The following is a 16,303-nucleotide window of genomic DNA, read 5'->3' as shown; positions in this document are numbered from 1 at the left end:
ACTTTAAAATGACCGAGATCCACTTTTTGTTCACTGTGTCTCCTTTCCTCAGCCCTTTTCTGTCTATAAAGCCAGTCTCCTCTGTTCAGCTGTTTTGAACACTCATTCCAGAAGAGGTGTTGCCAGATTCATGAATTGCAAATAAAAAACAATGAAGATCTTTAAACTAGATTTGATGTAATTTTATCTTTTTTTTTTTTTTTTTTTTTTTTTTGAGACAGTCTCACACTGTCACCCAGGCTGGAGTGCAGTAGCATGTTCTAGGCTCACTGCAACCTCTGCCTCCCCGGTTCAAGTGATTCTTGTGCTTCAGCCTCCTGAGTAGCTACGATTACAGGCTCACACCACGATGACTGGCTAATTTTTAGTGGAGATGGGTTTTCACCATGTTGTCCAAGCTTGTCTCAAACTCCTGGCCTCAAGCACTCTGCTCGCCTTGGCCTCACAAAGGGCTGGGATTACAGGCATGAGCCTCTGCACCTGGCCTAATTTTGTCTTTTGACAGTGTTATGCATCAGAAAACTTTTTAAAAAAATGTCTACCCTTTAGTCCAGCAATGCCACTGTAAATAACTTATCCAGTAGAGACGATCAGTCCAGACGCATTTACAACACTATTCATTCATAGCGTTGTTTCAACGCAAAAATGACAAATAAGATAAATATCCAACAACAGGGCACATGCATCCAGCTCTGACACAACCTTACCATGGAAACACAACTGGTCATAAATGTCAATGTACCAGTAACTAGTATGTACCAGTAATGTACAGCTAGGTTTATTAACATGAAAACTGTAAAATGTTATTGAATGAAAATAGGTCACAAAAGAAAGGATGTACAGTATGATTTCATATTTGTAAAAAGTTGTATGTACCCGCGTTGTATAAAAATTTTTGGAAGGTTTCCAAGGCCCTCATCCCTGGTTTAAGAGACACCCTCGATTCTTTAAACTAAAGAATGCCAGCCATAGAGGACTTTGGTCACTGGTAGCCAAACATGTCACAAGCAATTCAGAAACTAGCCCCTCTGCCTGCAGCATTCGAGTTCCCCAGAAGGCATCCCGGCCGCAACATCACTGGAGTAGAAAGCAGATGCCTTCCTGCCTCAGTTTATCCAGGATAGGGTCGGGAAAGCATGTGAAGGAGACCAGCTATTCTTTACCTCATAAACCGAGGGGAATTCAGGCTTCCACAGAGACAGGAGAGACCAAGATTAAGCCTGGCTCTTTCCTCCTAAAAAGAAGAGAAAGAGACAAGGTCAAAACTGGCCGTAGGACACAGCTGTTTGGATTCATCAGTCCCCAGGCATTTATGAGCACCATTATGTGCGATGCATTTTGCTAAGTGTAGAAAGGTCACAGAGCCAGAGTTCTTGTCCTTAGGGAGCTCATTCTAGGGGGAAACAAAAATAACCTTGACGTGACTGGTAAGAAAAGAGGGAGGTGACCCAGAGGGGGAAGAGGTGCCCTCCGTGGGGAAATAGAGGAAGGCCTCACTGAGGAGGTAACCCCTGAGCTGATCTTGAAGGATGCAGACAGGACGGGGGATGGATGTTAAAACGGGACAAATGGCATGGACAGAGGAAGAGGCTGCCCGCTCAGTTTCTCTGGGTGTCTGGGCATCTAGACATTCATTCTGTCTCACAGCAGCACTTTTCTGCTTCCAGCTCGCAGAGTGGGGAAAACAGCCACCCAGAGCCCTCCATTTACATGGCTTCCAGCCAGCGCAGTTGGTCCAAGGCTGGAATTGTAGTCCCAATTCCAATTTTCCATGTCTAATGCCCACTCCTGGCCTTGTAAATTGTGGCCAGGTGAGGTAGACACTGTATGGACAAGATCCAGAAGTCTCTGTGGCTCTAACCAAGAGGGCTGGTGGGTGGAGGGCATTTCCCAGGGAAAAAGAGTGGAGTGGGGTGCTGAGTGGACAGCCCCTAAATCTCCATGCAACCTCAAAGGGATGATTCCAACCAGAAACTGATGCCTATACAGCCCATGTGCCCTGTTATCTTTGACACACAAGCTTCTGATTGAAGGACAGTAATTATTACCCCAAATGTGTTAGGAAATAGTAATCTCCCAGATATAGGCTGTCCCATGTGCACTTTGGGCTGCAGGCCCAAGCACATGTGTGTATGTACACACACATATACACACACATACGTGCATACACATGTGCACGCACCAGTCCACACACCCAGAGCAAGAGGAGGAACTCAACTCCTCCTGCAGTCTGCCTGCATCTGCGAAGGATCACCAGCACAAACAATGCAGGGTGACTCATCGCCTGTGACTAACAGGCCTGCGGCTCCTCAGGTCCTCATGGCAAATGTCTCATCATTGTCCTTTTAAACCTTCAATGATGGGGGTCTCCCTAACCTGGCCTCCACCTCCAACCCAGAGGAGCCTGGAGGGAGAGAGCTCATTCAGTTAGGAGGGGAGGGGAGAGCTTAGAGGAATTCACCAGATCTGTGCAATGGGGTGGTGGTGGGGGTGTTACTTTATGAGATGATTTACTGAACATGTGCTGCAACACAGCACTCTTCACTGGAAATTCAGAACAGGGGATAATTTCCCCACAATCTATTTCCTGGCATCTTTTCAGAAATCCATGGATGGTGCAAAGTAAGATTGGAGTGTTGAGGGGGAGGAATGTCTCAGGGGGAGCAGAAACTGCCAGTTTAAAAGCGATCATCAGCTGGATGCGGTAGCTCACGCCTGTAATCCCAGCACTTTGTAGTCCCAAAACCATTGCCCTGCCAGTGGTTTTGGTGAGCATGTCCACCAGGAGATGGGCCTGTCCAGGGTCCCAGTTGTGGAGCTGGGAAAGCAACTATTTATTCAACAAAGGACGAACAGGAAGACCAATGTAACTGAGGATGAGAAGGAGGAATGGGAGACAGATTCAAATGATCCATGAAAGCCATCCTAGAGGCCTGCTATAGTTGGGATGTGATTTGTGCTCACCAAATCTTATGTTGAAATTTGATCCCCCATGTGGTGTTGGGAGGTAGGGCCTAGTGGGAGATGTTTGGGTCTTGAGGATAGAGCTCTCAAGAATGGCTTGGTGCTGTTCCCAAGGCAATAAGTGAGTTCTCACTCTGATGAGAGCAGATTAGTTCCTGGAAGAGTGGGCTATTACAAAACCAGGATCCCCCTCAGGCTTTGCCTTTTCAGATATGTCCACCTCCCCTTTGACCTTCCACCATGTTGTGATGCAGCACAAAATCCCTTACAAGGAGCTGAGCAAATGCTAGATGCTAGCCCCATGCTTATTGAACTTCCCAGCCTGCAGAACCAAGAGCCAAATAAACCTCTTTTCCTTGTAAATTATCCAGCTTCAGGTATTCCTTTATAGTAACACTAAACAGCCTGTGAATGCTTAGGAGTGAGAACTCCAGGAGAAAGACTACTTCCTACCAGTCTTAGCAGGTTAGGATCAAAAGCTTTTCTAATTTGAATGAAAATTAGGAGAAAATATGAACTTCTTCTGAACTTCAAGCTTGTCAAGGGAGATCCTGGTTGCTCACGTAATGCATCACATAGGACAGGCCAGGTTATGCTAAGTCACAAACAGCTTTAGAAAATCTTACTGATTCAAAACAACAAAGGTTTCTTTTTTGCTCACAATGACATGTTCATCACAGATCTTCAGGTGCTCAGCCTGTCCTAGTCAGCCAGAGGGCCAAGCAGCTATTATGTGGCACTTGGACAATTGTCATGGAAAAGAGTATGCTGACTTTAAAAGTTTCCACCTGGAAGCAACACTCATCCTTTCCGCTCATGTGGCAAGTCACATGGCGCGGCCTAACTTCAAGTGGGCAGGGAGTAACCCCTTTCAAGAGCCCAGAGGAGGGAGGGCTGGAGTATTTGTGAACAGCCCTAATAACTTGCGTGCTTAACCAGAGCACATGGCGTGCAGCAGATTCCTGGTACAGACTCTATTGACCTCAGGAATTCCGAGAAGGGAGACAGCATCATGGCTAGATTCAGGGAAATCTTCCTGGAGGAGGTGAAGTCTGAGGTTAACTTTGAAGGACAGTGCAGCTTTAGACCTATTAGATAAGGAAGATGGGCCAGAGGGAACAGCCTGAGACAGTAGATTTGGAAGGAGACCAGGTCTGGAGGCCATAGTAGTTCCTTACTTACATCTTCTCCCAACCGTGGTCTCTTTCAGGCTCCAGGACTCATGCTGGGAGGGCAGAAGGAAAAGACTGGGCTGAGGCCAAGCAGAGATGAAAGTTGTTTTCGAGTATTAACCTGATCAGGAAAGGAGAGTTGGTGGAGACCCCTCAACATCCTCGGCCGCAGGCCCATCACACCCATACTCATCTCCGGAGGAGTTCCAGTTCAGAGAGGAGGTCTAGCCAGACTGGCAGCTGTGCTGTTCTGTCCCTCACTGACTTTTTCCTCCAGCAGATGGGCCCCAGGGCCCCACTGTCAGGCCATCCCCAGAACGAAATAAAAGCATTTTTATGAGAGAAAGAGACAGAGGGGGAAATGAGTGCTAGGTTTCTCTGCTAGTCACTCACCCAGAAAAAGCACCAACTGGGGGTCTTAATATAGTCCTATGGACTGAGTACTGAAGATAGAAGGAAAGACAAGGCCTTGCTTGGGGATGTCCTGGTGTGGAGGAGATGTGGTCCTTCCCTTTGAGATATCCTCAGGCAATGCCTTCAGGGTATTCTCGGTCTTAAAGGGAAGATAGAACTTCTCTGCATCCTGTTTCTCATCCTTCATAGCAATTAATTGAAATTGGCAACAGGAACCCAAGATGGTCTGGGAGCAGGTGTTAGGAGGACTTCACACTCCTCCCAACTGGGGCCACTCACAAGAGAAGCCTTAGACTTGGTCTATCTAACTGCCGGGTTATTGCAAGGAATAAATGAGCTCTTTGATAAGAGAGTGCTAAACAACAAAAACAACATTAGTAATAGATCATTCAAAAGCCAGGGCCTGCAGGTTGGACGGCTTGATGTCAAGGCCCTGAGGATGGTTAAGGACTAGACTCCCCACTTTCCCTACAAGTGGCCGCCCAGTACTGCCCTGGTGATGGGTAGTCTTCCGTGGGGCCAGCTCCTGGGGGATAAAAGAGGAGCCACAGGGCAGAGGGGAGGAATAAAAGAATGGAGTGGGATGGCTGAGGTGGGCAGGATGAGGATGGGTAGGAAGCGCAGGAACTGGAAGAGAATAGGGCAAAGCGCCTCCTGGGGTTGAGAATGGGAGAGGGCCCAACAGTTGGTTCTAGGGTGGGTAGGAGATGAATCACAGTTCTGGGATGAGGGGGTAGAAGTCTGGTATATTGACCAGGGGGAGGACTTGTGGCAGGAGATGGAAATTGCGGTGAGCTGTGTGAGTTTCAGATACACAGGGACAGCCAAAGGCAAGAGTGAAGACGGTCACAGCCTGGAGCAGAAGGCTGGCCTTCCCCAGGCTCAGATTCTGATGCCCCCACCCCTCTGCCTCTGAGTCAGGCTCACAAGCCCCGTGGGAAGCTGTGGATGCTTCTGAGGCACCAGAGGGGCTGGGTACTGCTGAGGAGGGGAAGGTGGGGCTGGGAAGCAGGCAGGGGCTTAGAGCAGGAACAGAGATGGGCTCCAGGGACTGGGCAGTGAGCTCCATGGTCTCTCTGTGGACCAATATCAGGGCCAGGTTTTCACCCTTCCTAGAGCTACGTGTCCAGGAGCAAAGAGCTGCTTGGATCTTCCTCGGAGCGGTGCATGTGCTAAGAGGAGGAATAGAATGGCTTCTGCCATCAAAACTGTCCCCCTTCCTTCTCTCATCCAGTCAGCACTGGATGCACCTTGGGCGGAGGAGTTCAGTGATGCTCACCTGGGATCCAGCCAGGAGAGGGCGTGGTCTTCACCCCTGCATGGACCCCTAGGTGGCCAAAGATCAGGACTCTAGTGCTCAGACTTCAAAAGTGAGCACAAAGGCATATAATAATAATGATAATAATAATAATAGCAACACATTCTTATCTTGTGCTTGGCACTGCTCAAAGGACTTTGCAGCTGGAATCCCACCACAACCCTGCTATTGCCACCTATGTTTTATAGATGGGGAACTGGGCACAGAGAGGTGAAGGAATTTGCCCCAGGTCCCAGGGCAGGAAGGGGAGCAGCTGGATTCCAACCCAGACAGCCCAGCTTGTGGGCCTGTGCTCCAACTGGACATGGACTGATCTGCTGGAGGGTTTCCGTTACAGCCAGCAAGTCCTTCACTCAGAAGATACTGCCAAACTCGGGGCTGGGCGCTGCTGGGGCTCTGGGATCAGTGCCCTGGAGTCCTGGGCTTAGGAGTTGGGGGAGGCCAGCCAGGCAAAGGGGCCCTGGGGGTCTGAGGCAGGCAGGTCAGCTGAGCAGGGCTTCAGGGTGCAGAGGGAGGGGCAAGATATGGGCACAGGCATGGAGTAGGGGCAAGGAAAGAGTAGGAGGGAAGAAGGGAGGGGGACTCTCCAGACAGCAGATGAGTGAATTGGGAGAGCTGAGGGTGAGGGTTAAAACGACAGCAAATGCAGGCCTCATCTGGTCTATAAACAAATAAAATTGGAGCCACAGTGGGGCACAAACAATGTCCTGGAGACAGAACAAGTCGCCACATGCCCTGAGTGAGGCTGGAAGAGGGTGGGCTTCGGAGCTGCTCCTGGCAGACGCCTTGCTGGGCCACAGTGTCAGAGACTCAGAACATGTGCTAAGTTCCAAAGAAGAAGAAAATCCCCTAGCCCATGGGCTGCCTGGAGTTGGGGACGCTGGAAGGGGGAGAGAAGGACCTCCTCAAACTCGGGCAGGCTCTGACCTTCAGTGAGGACTCAGGAGTCTGCAGGGACACTGTCCAGGAGGCACACAGGGAGCTTGGCCTAGGAGGCCAGAAACGGGGGGTTCAGGTCTGGCCCTGCTCCTGCCTGTGAGGGACCTTGGGTAGTTCACAGCCTCTCTAAGCCTCATTGGTGACATGGGCACATGGACTATAACTATTGCTATTATCAGAATTACTCTCATCAGTAGAGAGCCTTCCGGGGAGCCCTGCTCAGGCATCTGGGCTCCTTCTGGCCTCTGTGGGCAGGACCACCCCTGACACCCCTGACACCCCTGTCTACAGCAGGGCTTCTCAACCTTGGCACTGGTGACATTTTGGGCTGGAGGCTTCTTTGTTTTGAGGGCTGTCCTGTGCATTTCAGGAAGCAGAATCCCCAGCTTCTACCCATTAGATGCCAGTAGCACCCCATCATGAAAACCAAAATCCTCTCAAGACTTTGTCAAAGGTGCCCCCTGTTGAGAGCCATGGGTCTAAAGGGAAGATAGGTGAAGATGAGCCACAGGACAGATGAGCCAAGGGGCTGCACTGGCAGATCCTGGGGTGGGTCCCTTCATCTCTCCCAGGTCCTCAGTTTCCTGCTTCTTATTATGGGAAACAGAACTCTGGGCCTCCAAGACAGAAGGAGAGATGCTGTTTGGAACCTGGAAGCTGTTTTAGGTCGGGTTGGGTGGGCTGAGGGACCACTAACTATCCCATCAGGAGAGCGCTAGGAAGGAGGCGTGTGGTCAGGGACACCTGTGTGCTTTGCTCCCACGTGCCGCTCCGCCTCATTCCTGGTGCTCCTCTTGTCTTCATTTCAGTTCAGACCCTTGCAGTTTTCCTCTGTACTATGCTGTTTCGTAACGACGTGCCTTTGCACATTCTATTTCCTCTGCCTAGAGAAGTTTACGTGCCTTGTCAATCTGTCGAACTCTTATTCATTCTTCAAAATCCAACCTAGGAACCATCTCCTCTATGAAACCATCCCTGACCTCCCTGATGGAGTGAATTTTTCCCTTCATGGACCTTGTCTCTTGCCCTTCTCTCTCGAACTCCTGGCCTCGAGCAATCCTCCCGCCTCAGCATCTCAAAGTGCTGGGATTACAGGCATGAGCCATCATGCCCAGCCCTGCGCTTCTCTCAGTAAGGTTTCATTGCCTGTCTATTCTACTAGACTCAGAATTCCTGGAGGGAAGTTCCTCGAGTTCAGTGACACTCAGCACAGAGCCAGGCATGCTGATCGGCCCAGTCAGTATTTGTCGAGTTGAACATAATTCAGAGGCAGAGGGAGATTCAGCCCATTAGGAAGGCCGACGCCTCTGCCAAGGTAGGCTCTGACTCGCTGCGGGAGGAAGACTGCCCTTTCTCACCACAGGGACTTGTAGGACACCCCAATCTAAACTAATGTAGGAACCACAACAAGCTGTTCATGGGGCACCAGCTGGTCCCAAAAGTGGAATTCTAGAACCTTAAAATTGCAAGGGGGCTCTGAGGGCCAACCTTCTTTACAGGCAAGGAATCTGAGTCCCAAAGAAGTGACAGGCCCTGCCCTAGCACACCTAGGTAGTTAGTGACTCAACCGGAACAAGAATGTAGGTCCCTGCAATCCCAGCTTGGGGCTTAGGCTGCCTCAGAAAGCAAGCTGGGCCAGGAGCAGTGGCTCACACGTGTAATCCCAGCACTTCGGGAGGCCAGCGCAGGTGGATCACCTGAGGTCAGGAATTCGAGACCAGCCTGGCCAACATGGCGAAACTCCATCTCTACTAAAAATACAAAAATTAGCTGGGCATGGTGGCGGACACCTGTAATTCCAGCTACTTGGGAGGCTGAGGCAGGAGAATCTCTGGAACCCAGGAGGCGGAGGTTGCAGTAAGCCAAGATCGCTCCATTGCACTCCAGCCTGGGCGACAAGAGCCAAACTCCGTCTCAAAAAAAAAAAAAAAAGCTGACCCCTCCAAGGTGTAGCCCTGAGTCTGAGGAGCTACGAGGTAGGAATCAGCCTCACACATCTGCACAGTGGGAACAGCAGCACCTGCTTCCGAAGGAGTCGGTAAATGTCATGAGGCACAACGACAGCACACAGTAGGTCTTCACTAAGGTGAGGTCCCCCCGCCACCCCCACTTCCTGCTCCTCCCAAGAAGGTGCCAGCACTGAGAGCCATTGTACAGTTCAGAATCAGGAAGTTTGTCACAGGCGAGGAGCCAGGTTTTACAACAGGAACTGCTGTTTCCTGAGAACGCGGTGTTCCCAGAGGTCAGCCCTCCCCACCTCTCTCTCCTCAGATCCCATTCAGCCCCACTCCATCCCCACACAGAGTCACCCATTACTGTATGTTCAATGTGTGCTCTCAAATTTGCAGCCCCAGCCACAACCTCCCTCCCGAGGACCCGGCCCACATTCCCCCCGGCCAGCTGGACTTTGGCCTTGGCTATCACATCCTCACCCTAAAGACCGAAGGCCTGAAACCAGGCTCTGGTCTGCTATGGGACACATGGGTGGTTTGTCAGGAGCTGCTTCTAGCCCTTCCCTGCCACCCTGGGATCACTAGACTTGTCTACAGAACATGAAAGGATTGGATCTGAGTCTAGGTGCTTTGCTAGCTCCATGGGGCACAAGACATAGCTGTCTCTCCTGCTCTGTGCTCCTCCTCCCCATAATCTGCCCTCCAACCTCCAGCTTCTTATCTTTCTTGGACTTGTCACCCTTACAAAATTAAATGCTTTTAGGGTCAGTGGCCACATGCCAGGGAAGTGGGTCTTTCAACTGCACACTCCCAAGGGCCAAAGACACAACCTTTTCATCTCCAAAGGCTCAAGGACACCACTCACCCTCCTGTTTCTTTCTTTCTTTCTTTTCTTTTAAAATTTCTTTTCTTTTTTCAGTAGCTGCCACTGTCCACTCCAGGTGTCATGGTGATATGGAGATGGCTTTAGATGCATATTCCATCAGACGACCCAGAAGTACTCAAATCTTTCCTAACCCCTCAATCCATTACAAAAAACGTAAAGCAAAGTAATAGGATACCTTGTTGCCAGCTGGGGCTTTGACCCCCTGCGCCAACCTAGGAAGCAATGCTGTGGCCACCTTTCTCCTCAGCTTGTCAGGCCCCATAGCCTTGCGCCAAAGAACCTCTTTCTCCTATGGCCACACCTGAGTCTTAGGTGAGCAAAGGCCAGCACTAAGAAGCAGCAGGTGCCTCGATGTGTGGGCCTTCGTGGCCCAGGTGGCCTGCCAGGAAAAAGACTCAGGTTCACGCTGTCTGAACGGGAGTGGGCTTGCAGCAGGGGAAGAAGAAGGTGCGAGAAAGACATGTCTCGGGCTACTTGGAAACAGGTGGGGGAGGAACATCAACAGAGAAGCACCTGCTGTAAGGGAGAGCAGCCCCTGGGCTTTTCCTCCCTGCACTCTGCAAAGTGGATGAGGGCTGGGGAGCCAGCCCCAGGCTCAGCACTGCCCTGGCAGAGCAGGAAAGGGGCCACGCCCATGTGCACTGGGGTTTTTAAACAGGCACGGTGACCCCACCCACTAGTGCAGTGACCCAGTGGATATCTGAATTGGCCCAGGAAGACAGTGAGAAGGTACAGAGAGACATTTTTTCCTGCAGAAGGCCACAGCAGCACTCCCTGCCCTAATGGGCCTGGCTTGCTTCCACGTGGTGACTTTGAAGGCTATTCTCCTTTAACAGGTTCCCCCAAATCTTGATGGAGAATCAGGTAGCAGACAACATACGTCACAGATGCAGGAGGTTGGGAGGGTTCTGCAGACCCCAGCTTGTTTCCTTAGAGAAGGCCCAGGATGCCTGGTGACCTCTGGAATCCTGGCATTGTGTCCTACTTGGTGATGCCCCCTTCCCACACCTCAGAGTATTCCTGATTCCCACAAATTCCTCAAAAAAAATGACTCACATAAAATGAATTTGCAAGCAGTTGGCATAGTGAAAAAGGGTGGGCTCTTGACTCAGATCTGGGTTGCAATTTCCACTTTCCTGATACCTAGCAGTGAGACCCTGGACAGGTTCCTAGCTCCCGCAGCCTGCGTTTGCTCATCCCAGGGGATGGGGATGTTATCTTCCTGGTGATTGTGAGGATCACTGTGGAGACAACCTGTAGAGTGTCCAGGTTGCTCTGTGAGATGCTCCATAAGTGGTAATGAGCAGTTACTCCAGATTTAAAAAGGAACTCAGATAGTAGTAATAAAAACCAACATAGGGAGAGTACGCATTTTATGCCAGACACTAAACTAAGGACTTAAATTGAATCTTATTTAACACTCAAAATAGCTCTATGGGGTAGATACTATCTATTATGAACTGAGTGTTTCTGTTCCTGAAAATTCATGTTGAAACCCTAACCCCCAATGTGATGGTATTGGGAGGTGGGGCCTTTGGGAGGTGATTGAGTCATGAAGGTGGAGCCCTTGTGAATGGGGTTAGTGCCCTTATAAAAGGAGGCCAGAGATCTAGCTAGTTCTTTTTCCACTGTGTGAGGACACAGAGAAGTTGGCAGTCTGCAACCTGGAAGAGGCCCTCATCAGAACCTGCCCATGCATGAAACACCCCGATCTTGAACTTCTACCCTCCAGAACTGTGAGAAATAAATGCTTGTTGTGTAAACCACCCAGTCGATGGTACTCTGTGATAGCAACCTGAAATACGATTTCCATGTTACAAAAGGAATTTGGGACACAGAGAGGTAAAGAACTGGTTCAAGAGCAGAGTGAAGACTTGAACCCAGAAATACTGACTCCAGAGTGGCCATTTTAGGAAGAGGTAGCAAGAAGGGGCAGAAATGAAGTTGGAGAACTAATCAAACATGGCCCACAAGTTTGTCTGTTCTTAAGGATGGGATCCCCACTGAAACATATGGTAAAGATCTCATTTGGGAGGAAGCTCTGGGCAGGTAGCCCACCCCTATCCCCCGTGTTTGCAGACCTTGCTTTCTGAGCCATCCCAGGTGGGTTTTGGGTGGAGGGAGTAGTCTCTCCTGTCTTTTGGGGTCTCTGTTGAAATAGATCATTAACCTCTCACCCAACTCTGATATATCCCAGGCAGCTCAGACCCAGCTAGTGTGGGAGGGGGTGGGGGCAGAGCCTGGCATCCCTCAGAATGTGGAGGGAAAGGTCTTCAGTAGCACACATGCTGGGAGTTTGAGCCAGCAGCTGTGATGGCAGCATTGCTGACTTGCAAAAGACATCTGTTGGCATGCAGGCATTGTGAAGGAAAGCTTGTAATTGCAGCTATAGATCAAATGCGGACAGAGGAAAAACTGTCAACCTCCTTGGAGTTATTTTGTAGAGAAGAGCAGAAAAATGCAGCTGTGATGTGATAGCTGGGCTGGCTGGATGTTGGCAGAGGAGGGATTCCTGGGGCCATGGTGGAGGAGGGGTCCCCTACCTCAGAAAGCATTGCTGTGCCCTTCACTTTCAGGGTGACAAAACAGCCGGACTCCCAGAGGAAGAGGCCCCTCCACCATGGGGACTGTCATGGGAGCAGCTGTGAACTAAGCCCAGTTTATCTTTAGCATCCTTGTTCTCTTTCTGGATTTGAGTTCTGGTTCTGCCACTTATAGCTCTGTGCCCTTTGGCAAGTCACTTAAAGAAAATAACTCTATGTATTGAGTTCCCGCTATCTGTTAGCTCCTGGGGTTGGTCTTCTCAGCTGGAGTTTACCTTCTTCCTCACCAACAGAGACTGATTTTATTCGGGCTTCCGCCTTCTCCCAGCCAGCCTCGGGCTTTAGCCCAGCTGCGGCCATCTGTAGCCCCTGAAGGTGGATCCCGATTGGTTCAAGCCAATGAGAGCCGTTCCACTTCTCTTACCTGTGATTGGCTTAGGCATGGGCTTGTGACCCAATCCTGGCCAGTGAGATTCAAGAAGAAGTCTATAAGGGGTACTTTGGGAAGGTTTCTCATTTCATTCTCCCGAGACGCTCTGGATATTGTGCATGGAACCACTATAGGCATCCAGCTGCCAGCCTGAAGCTGACAGCAGCACTGAGGATAGCATCTGGGTCCTTGATGATGCCATTGAGCTGCTAAATTAACCTTTTCTGGAGCTAGCCTACCTTGCGGTTTCTTGTTATAGGAGATAATAAATTTCTTATTGGTTAAGCCCCTTTGAGTTGGGTTTTCTGTTAATGGCAGTTAAAAACATCCCTACTGCTTCTTGCCTCACTGAAAAAGGGGTAGGAAAAGTATGTTCTCTCTCCCACACTAGACGATCCCATAGCTGGGTGGCTTGGTCTCTGAGGTGTCATTGTCTTATAGCTTTCACATAGCAAGCTGTCCCTGCTACCACTCAGGGTGCAAATACATCCCTTTGATGGCAAGATGGGTGGGCTCATGTAACAGCCATTTTGCCCTCCCAACACGCAGCCTGTTTTGCTGGATAAGGCCCATTATGGCAGGTCTGTTCTCTCAGGCAGATGAAGTGATCTGAGGAAGTGTTTGTCCGATAAATGTCTCTCACTGCTTGTTTTATGAGTTACTTGGTATTATGAGATATGTTACATGCAAGCTTGTGTTGGAATCGATGAATTATTAAGTGTCCACTATCTAGTTTTGCCTTGGAATGTCTTGTGCTCTCTGGATATAAGATGAGGACTGAAAACTCCACTGATCCCTGCTGGATATCTCTGGCTTAGTAATAATGAATGATGGGGACACTGCCCCATCTGGGACTTTCCCAGCTCAGCTTTTGCCTGAGGAAGGAGCTGATTAATGTGGGACTGATTAATGTGGGATACTTTCTGGTGTCAAAAAGAGGAAGATTAAAGGGCTATACCTTCTCCCTCTCCCCCCCACCTCCAAGCCAGACAGCTGAGACCACTGAGATGCTTGGTCCCATGTCCACTTCTGAGATGCTGAGCGGGAGGAGTGCAGCAGTGGTCAGAAAAAGTCCATTTCTGCCCAAGAGGACTCACAGCTTGCATCCCTTATTTGATTAACACATCCTAAACAAGTAGGCTTCTGTAAAAACCCTGGAGGTCAAAGAATTCAAGTCAAACAGCTCCCAGAGAAGATTAGGAAGACTGAAAATGGACCGTCCCCACTGCTGTCCACAATTAATTCCTTCTAGGGAGCTCTGTAAGTCCTAGGCTGAATCTGGGAGTCGCAGATGCCCTGGGGAGGTCAGGGCTGCAGGAGCTCCGAGTCCAGCTAAGCCCCAGTGGGGTAAGAAAGATCTGCTCGCTTCAGGGCCAGACTCATCAGCTTGCAGACAGAGGTGGACCTAAGCCAGGAGAAGGCAGGGAGCTCTTTTGGACTTCACACTACCAGTCCTGTCGTCCTCATGAGGGCTTCTTGTTGCTTATGAAAATAGATCTTGTTTTCCTATAGGCGGTAAGTTCTTTCCCTGCTACCTTTAGCTAGAAGGAAACTCAGACCAGCAACTCAGACAGCAGCCTCTGGAATCTGCCTAGGTTCAAATCCTGGCTGCACCATGACTATCTGCGTGTCCCTGGGCTTTATGCGATCACTCTGCAACTCGGCTTCTTGTCTGTACAATGTGGAGATCACAGCGTCCCTCATGGAGTGGCCAGGAGTGTTAAAGAAAGTGGCACAGGAGCCCATTTGGATCTGGCGCATAGTTGTGAGCTACTATGTGGGTATCACAAAGCTGGGCTCTCTCCCAGGACTTGGTGACCTGGTTGCTTTGAGGTTTATCTGCCCCCACCCCGTCTGTCAGACACACCTGCATGTCTTGTGCTCAGAGCCCCGTCCTGACTCTCATTCCGCCCTCATATGGGCTTTGTGCGGAGGGTGGTCCTGTGTTAATGTTTCCATTTGAGCAATTTCCAGAGGTTAAGAAGGTTTGGGGGCAGCTGAGCATGTGTCCCCATAGCAACCCTGTGAAAGGGGGATGGGTATGTCTTTAGAACCCCCCGCCATGTGGTCCTGCCTGCGGTCCCCATGAGAACAGAGGAGAACAGGCAGCACCTCCTAGTCTGCAAAACCAAGGTGTGGAGGGCCAGGGGCTGACAGGGAGGATGGGCTGGTGGACAGTCCTGGGGCACCGGAGCAAGGGCTCCAGCCACAGAGATGGAGAGGGAGAAGGGCTGGGGCAGGCAGCCCACAGCCCCACCGGTCTCATCCAGTAGAGAGGAAACTCACATGCCTGTGAACCTAAGGCAAGAACACCAGGCAACAGATGTCACAAATGATGTCTCCCCAGGACTCTGGGGAAGAAGCGAGGGGTGAGGGATACTTAGGACAGCTCCCCAAGCTTTTGTTCCTCTCAGAGCTGTGCCTTGGGTGCCTGGACCCATGTTGAGACGGAGTCCGGGGCTGGGGGAAGCACCCATCATACCCAGAAGGTCACGCTCTTGGTCTATCCTTTATCATGAGAGAACCCAGGGGCGAAGGGCACAGGAGACACGCATATCTCTTCTCTGATGGAGCTTAAGCAATTCAAGGGTGCTGCCTGCCCCCGTCCACCACCCTTCTGCCCCAACAGCCTCCCTGCCCTCAGGCTAGATTAAGCTGTTTCGTCTGAAAAGTCTGCCTCTGGATTGGCTCTTTTTAGTCTAAAACAACATAACCATATCGGAAAAAAATAAATAAATAAAATAAAAGCTTGGGGAAAACAAATCAGCTGCAGTCCTACCAACCATTGTCATTGTTTCCCTTTTCTCCCAATCTTGGTCCAGATGTTGGCCTGCCTTCACCATGCTGTTCTGTGTCCTATTTGTGAACCTGGTGTTGTCAGGAGCCTGGGTCATCCATCTGAAGATACATTACCTCGACTCCACACCCCTCCCAGGTGTGCAGACACCCCTGTCTGCTGCTCTGGGCCTACTCTCCACCTTCGTCACCCTGCTCTGGACCTGGGAGGCTGGCCTGTCTTGACTGTACCCACTCACACCCCTGCCCTCTGGCCTTGGTGGGGTTTGGCCAGTAGGGAGCCCCAGCCAGAGGCAATAAGGAGGAAGGAAGGAGGTTTGGGGATTCATTGTATCTGCTTGCTAGGGCTGCCATAACAGTGGACCGCAGGCTCAGGGCCTTAAACAACAGAAATGGATTCCTTTCAGTTCCGCCTTCTCCCTGTGTCCTCACACAGTCTCTCCTCTCTGTGTGTGTGACCCTGGTGTCTCTTAGTATGTCTGGATTACCTCTTCTTCCAATGACACCAGTCAGATTGGATGAGGGCCTCAATTTTTAACTTATTCATTTCTGTCTAAGCTCCATTTTCAAACACAGTCACATTGTGAAGTACTGGGGGTTATGGCTTCCACATATGGGTTTTGGGGGAACAATTCAGCCCCATAACATCACCTCCCTCCTTCCTCCTTCTGGGGTCACTGAGGACCGGCTGTGTCCTATGACAGAAGGTCACAGCTTTGTCAGGCAGCATCCCAGCTCCCTTGCCCCTACCACTTTCTCTCTTTCCCCACCTGCCCCCAGCCAGGTGGAATTAACGGTGCTGAGCTTTCCCACCTCTGAGGACTGCACTGCGTCTGGTTTCCCCCAAGCCCACCCATACCTTTGTAAAATGGTCCCTCCGTAACTCTGC

The 16,303-nt window shown here is 50.5% G+C and overlaps 1 long non-coding RNA gene across 2 annotated transcripts, besides 3 other annotated features; it reads right to left on the bottom strand.

Annotated features, from left to right (window-relative positions):
* Positions 1 to 756: 756 nt before the first annotated feature.
* LOC124906004 (uncharacterized) lies at positions 757 to 12,543 on the bottom strand. Of its 2 annotated transcripts, none has more exons than XR_007086310.1 (2): positions 12,464 to 12,543; positions 757 to 1,234 (listed from the first exon to the last, which is right to left on the bottom strand). It is a non-coding gene; the product is annotated as an uncharacterized LOC124906004 (long non-coding RNA). The 2 variants fall into 2 exon arrangements; XR_007086309.1 differs by lacking the exon at positions 12,464 to 12,543 and adding an exon at positions 9,821 to 10,448.
* Positions 2,178 to 2,677: an enhancer, noted in NCBI's record as "H3K27ac hESC enhancer chr2:47100539-47101038 (GRCh37/hg19 assembly coordinates)". NCBI's record gives its function as "activates a minimal SCP1, AML or CMV promoter by ChIP-STARR-seq in primed H9 embryonic stem cells {active_cell/tissue: H9 hESC(primed)}" and the evidence as "EXISTENCE:reporter gene assay evidence [ECO:0000049][PMID:30033119]".
* Positions 3,833 to 4,127: an enhancer, noted in NCBI's record as "tiled region #4552; K562 Activating DNase matched - State 5:Enh". NCBI's record gives its function as "activates a minimal TATA promoter and a strong SV40 promoter by Sharpr-MPRA in K562 cells {active_cell/tissue: K562}" and the evidence as "EXISTENCE:reporter gene assay evidence [ECO:0000049][PMID:27701403]".
* Positions 3,833 to 4,127: a silencer, noted in NCBI's record as "tiled region #4552; HepG2 Repressive non-DNase unmatched - State 21:Repr". NCBI's record gives its function as "weakly represses a minimal TATA promoter and a strong SV40 promoter by Sharpr-MPRA in HepG2 cells {active_cell/tissue: HepG2}" and the evidence as "EXISTENCE:reporter gene assay evidence [ECO:0000049][PMID:27701403]".
* Positions 12,544 to 16,303: the final 3,760 nt, after the last annotated feature.

Source organism: Homo sapiens, chromosome 2 (assembly GCF_000001405.40).
Source record: "Homo sapiens chromosome 2, GRCh38.p14 Primary Assembly".
Lineage (NCBI taxonomy): Eukaryota > Metazoa > Chordata > Mammalia > Primates > Hominidae > Homo > Homo sapiens.
Note: the sequence above shows the minus strand (reverse complement) of the source record. Positions and strands in the feature narration are given on the sequence as shown.